Source organism: Homo sapiens, chromosome 7 (assembly GCF_000001405.40).
Source record: "Homo sapiens chromosome 7, GRCh38.p14 Primary Assembly".
Lineage (NCBI taxonomy): Eukaryota > Metazoa > Chordata > Mammalia > Primates > Hominidae > Homo > Homo sapiens.
This window is the reverse complement of record NC_000007.14, coordinates 3,393,470-3,398,786: the sequence shown is the minus strand read 5'-3', so window position 1 is coordinate 3,398,786 and position 5,317 is coordinate 3,393,470. Positions and strand designations below refer to the sequence as shown.

Below are 5,317 nucleotides of genomic sequence, written 5' to 3'. Positions count from 1 at the left end.
GAAAAAAAAAAAAAAAAACTACTGGGGGCTCAGTCTTAGGGGACCCATACACTTTCATAAGTTTTACCCCCAGAAGTCCCACTATGTTCTCCTGGTGAAGACTGGAGGTTAAAAAAATAAATAAATAAAAATAAAAATAAAATAATAAATAAATCATGTGCTCAGCAAGGGCAAGGGGAAAAGTAAGCATGCCAAAATGCATCTGGGGAAAAGTATTTTGAAATATGCCCGGAGCCTTCTGTTCTATATAATAAAGGCCTTCTCCCAAGGGAAACTACTTTGTCAGAACTTTATGTGACCTAGGGGAAGGTGATTATACAACTCAGTCCCCTCTAGCATCCCTGTCTCACAGAAGAGGAGAAAAAAAAATGCTAAGAAACTCTTCTGAAGGTCACAGCCCAGGGACTCAGGCCTACTAAACAAATCTGAGGTTTATCACAAGATTATAGAATGTTTCCTCTCCGCAACACCTTATCACTACATCAACAGGGCTCTAATAGAACAACAGTGGATTACAACTAAAATAGCTGCAAGGTACAGACTCTACTTAAGGCGGTATTTCTAGGGAAGCCCAAAGAAAATAAAGGAGAAAAAAGCAAGGATACTACGGGAAACTAAAGCCTGTGAAACCTACAGTTACAGAAAAACCTACAGCTACAGAAAACCTACAGTTACAGAAAACGTTAAACCTACAGTTATAGAAAACGTTAAACCTACAAGCCAGATAAACAAAACCTCACACTGAAGACCTATTTACTACTTCAGTTCCTGCTACTCAGTACATCATGCCTGGCTTTCCACAAAAAATTACAAGGCATGCTGAAAGGCAAGAAAACACACAATCTGAAGGGGCAAAGCAAGCATCAGAATCAGACTCATATATGGCAGAGATTATGTAATTATCAAACCAGAAATTCATAACTATGATTAATATGCCAAAAGCTCTAATGGAAAAAAGTGTAAAACATGCAAGAAGAGGTGGGTAATGTAAGCAGAGATAAAAACCCTAAGAACAAATTTTTAAAAACCGCAAAAACACTACAACAGAAATGATAGCCAAAAATGTCTAGTTTGATGAGAAACATTAAATTACATATCCAAGAAGTTCAATGAACTCCAAATAGGGTAACTCAAAGAGTCAAACACACATTAAGACAAAATGTTCAAAGACAGAATCTGTAAAACAACAGAAAAAATGACTTGCATATTACAGGGAATCCTCTATAAGATTAACAGCTGACTTCTTGTTAGAAACCATAAAGACCAGAAGGCACTGATGTGACATATTCAAAGCGCTGGGGGGGGGAAAGAAAAGACTACGAACCAAAAATTATATATCCAGCAAAACTATCCTTCAAAAACGAAAATTAAAATATTCCCATATAAAGAAAAAATGAGAGAATTTGTCACCAGCAGAATTGCTCTACAAGAAACACTAAAGGATTACTTCCAGCTGAAGTAATTCAAATCCATATGAAAAAAATTTGAAAGTACCAATAAAGGCAATTAAATAGGTAAATATAAAATACAATATAATTGTTTTTGAGAACGCTTTTCTCCTATTTGTTTTAAAAGGCAACTGTATAAAGCAATAATTATAAAACTTTGTTGATAGGCTTATAACATATAAATACATAATTTATAAGGCAAAAAAAGCATGCAAGTGAGAAAAAATTCTGTGTATGTTTGAAATTATGCCAGGATTAACCTGAACTGAATTTTAAGTTATTTGTTATGATCCCCAGGATAACCACTAAGAAAGTAACTCAAAATATATACTAAAAGAAACAACAAGAATGATGCATTTAAGAAAAGAATCCATTTAACACAAAAGAAAGCAGTCATGGAGGAATGAAGGAACAAAAAATATATAACATTTATAGAAAACATATAATGAAAAGGTATACTTAAATCTTAATAATTACATTAAATATAAATAAATATAAATGAATTAGACCATCTAATCAAAAGGTGCAGATTAACAGTATAGACTGAGAAAAATAAACTTGACAACCATATGCTGTCTGGAAGAGATTCACATTAGATACAAAGATACAGATCAGTTGAAAACAAAAGGATGGGAAAAGATATATCATGAAAACAGTAATCAGAGGACAGCTATATTAATATCAGACAAAATGAATTTAAAGACAAAAATTGTTACTAGAAAGAAAAGGAAATTTTATAATAAGAGGGTAATTCAGCAGGTAAAGATAACAATTTATAAATATGTATGCAGTAACAGGGGTCCAAAATACATAAAACTAAAACTGACAAAATTAAAGAGAAACAATAGTTGAACATTTCAATTTTCAATAATGAATAGAACAAGTAGACAGAAGATCAACAAAAATACAGAAGACTTATAACACTGCCAATCAACTTACCTTAACACACATCTAAAGCACACTCCACACAACAGCAGCAAAATAATCATTCTTTTCAAGCTGCCATAGAACCCAAGATAAGTCATATGCTGGACCACAAAGAAAGCATTAGCAGATTTAAAAGGATTAAAATCGTATAAAGTATATTTACCAACAATAATGCAGTTATTTCTAAATACGGGTCAAAGAAAAATTTTTTTAAAATTACAAGGGGGAATGAGCAAGTATTTTAATCTGAATAATAGAAATACAACTCATGTCCAAGTGTATGAGATGCAGCTAACACAAGACTTAGAAAAAAACGTATAGTGTTAACATTCCTATATTAAAGAAAAAAATCTCAAATCAATAATCTAAGAATTCACCTTTAAAATGTAGAAAACAGAAGACTAAACCATATCAAGGGAAAACAGAATGAAGAAAATAAAGATGACAGGAGAAATTAAAGAAATGTAAAACAGAAAAACAACAGAGGAAAAATTAAAAGGTGGTTCTTTAAAAACAAAATTGGCAAACCCTTGGCAAAGAGAGAGAGAAAGAAAACCACAAAAATCAGGAATGAAAGAGAGATGATTACCACTGACCCCTCACAGATTAGAAAGACAAAGAAATATTAACAACTTTACGCCAACAAATTCAACAACTTAAATAGACAAATTCCTAAAAAGTCACGAATGACCAAAACTGACTAAAGAAGGAATAGAAAATCTCAATACATCTACAGCAAGTACAAAAATTAAATGAGCTTTTAAAATATGTTCCCACAAAGAAAAGTCCAGGCTCAGATTCCTTCACTGGGGAATTTCATCAAACACTGAAGGAGGAAATAATATTAATACTCCACAAATTCTTCCGAGAAGTATAAGAAGTAGATTTAAGAATATTACTCACATCTCATTCTAGAATATTCCCACTCATTATGGGATGCAATAACACCCTGATAGCAAAGCGAGACAAATTATTACCAGAAAGGAAAACTACAAACCAGTATCTCTCACAAACACAGATGCAAAAATCCTCAATAAAATATTAGTGAACCAAATTCAACAACATATAAAAAAAGATGATAAGCCATCTTTTTTAATTACCCCAGAAATGTGAGGTTTTAACAGCTAAAAATCAATTAAAGTAATGCATCATATTAATACAGAATAAAAACCAAATGAACATCTCAACAGGTACAGAGAAAACATTTGACAAAATCCAATGTGCATTCAAGATAAAAAGTCTCAGCAACCTTAGAATAGAACCTGGTAACATGTGCAAAAAACCTACAGTGAATATAATACATATTGGTGAAAGACCAAATTCTTTTCCTCTAAGACAGGGTAAAAGGCACAGATGTCCACTCTCATCTCCTCTATTCAGCACAGCACTGGAAGCTCTAACCACCCAAGAAAAACAAATAAAAGACATTCGGTTTGTAAAGAAAGTGGTAAAACTGTCTTTGTTTGAAGATGACATGATCCTGTATATAGAAAACCCCAAAGAGTCCACAAAAAAACTATTAGAACTAATTTTTAAAAAGCACATCTAGTTCACAGGATATAATACAAGATCAATATATAAAAATCAATTATATTTCTATAAGCAATAAACAATCTGGAAGTAAAATTAAGAGACACATTCACAATAGCATTAAAAAAGTACATACAAATAAAGGTAACATAAGAACAAGACTTGTACTGTAAAAATTATAAAGCTTTGAAGAAAATTCAAGTTTTTTTAAATGATGAGACATTCAATATTTATGGATCGAAAGACTCAATATTGTTAAAATGGCAATTCTCCCCAAATTGATCTATACATTCAAAATAATCCCTATCAAATTCCAGGAGGCTTATTCCCACAGAAATTGATAAGCAGGTCCTAAAATGCAAATGAAAATGCAAAACATTTAGAATAATCAAAACAATTTTGAAAAAAAACTGGAGGTCTTTTCTAAATTTCAAATCTTATATAAAGGTACAGTGATCAAAGCATTATAGTACTAATAAAAATCATTGATCAATGGCACATAATTACGAATCCAGCAATAAATTCTTATATTTATTATCCACTGATTTTTAACAAACATGCCAAGGCAATACACTAGGGAATAGATAATACGTTCACCAAATAAAACCAGAACAATTGGATATCCACATGCAAAAAGATGATCTTAGACCCTACACAAAGTTAACTCAAAATGAGGGTCGGGGGAGAAGTAGAGGAGAGACTGACTCCATGTGTTTGGGAGAAAAGGAGGAGAACAATATCTCTGTCTGGTAATCCAGAGAGTTCTTCTGGATCTTATCCAAGACTACCAAGACAGTACCTATAGAAGTCTGCAAGAACCAGTGTTACTGGCCTTAGGGTGCCCCCTAATGCAGATATGGCTTACCCAACTCCTTTTGAATATCTGGAAAGCCTTCCCAAGAAGGATGGGTACAAATAAGCCCAAATGATGAACACTATAATAAATGCCTAACTCTTTAAAGCTCAGATACTGACAAACATCCACAAGCATCAAGACCATCCGGGAAAACACGACCTCACAAACTGAACTAAATAAGACAACAGTGAACAATCCTTAAGAAACAGATATACATGACCTTTCAAGAACTCAAAATAGCTGTTTTGAAGAAACTCAAATTCAAGAAAACACAGAGAAAAAATTCAGAATACTATCAGATAAATTTAACAGAGATTGAAATAATTAAAAAGAATCAAGCAGAAATTCTGGAGTTGAAAAATGTAACTGAAGTACTGAAGAATGCAACAGAATCACATTCATTTTAACTTGTAGCCCATTCATTTTAACTGCTACGTAGTATTCTGATCTGCGAATAATCCAGTTTTATCTACTCTTTCCCGATATTCCCTTGAGTTGTTTTTCACTTGACTGTGCTGCAATGAACATTTCTGTACAGATACCACTTCACATAGCT

The 5,317-nt window shown here is 32.6% G+C and overlaps 1 protein-coding gene across 1 annotated transcript in view; it reads right to left on the bottom strand.

Annotated features, from left to right (window-relative positions):
• The window catches only part of SDK1 (sidekick cell adhesion molecule 1), a 967,749-nt gene that overhangs the window by 870,214 nt on the left and 92,218 nt on the right, over positions 1–5,317 (bottom strand). The gene's annotated exons all lie outside the window — the stretch shown is intronic.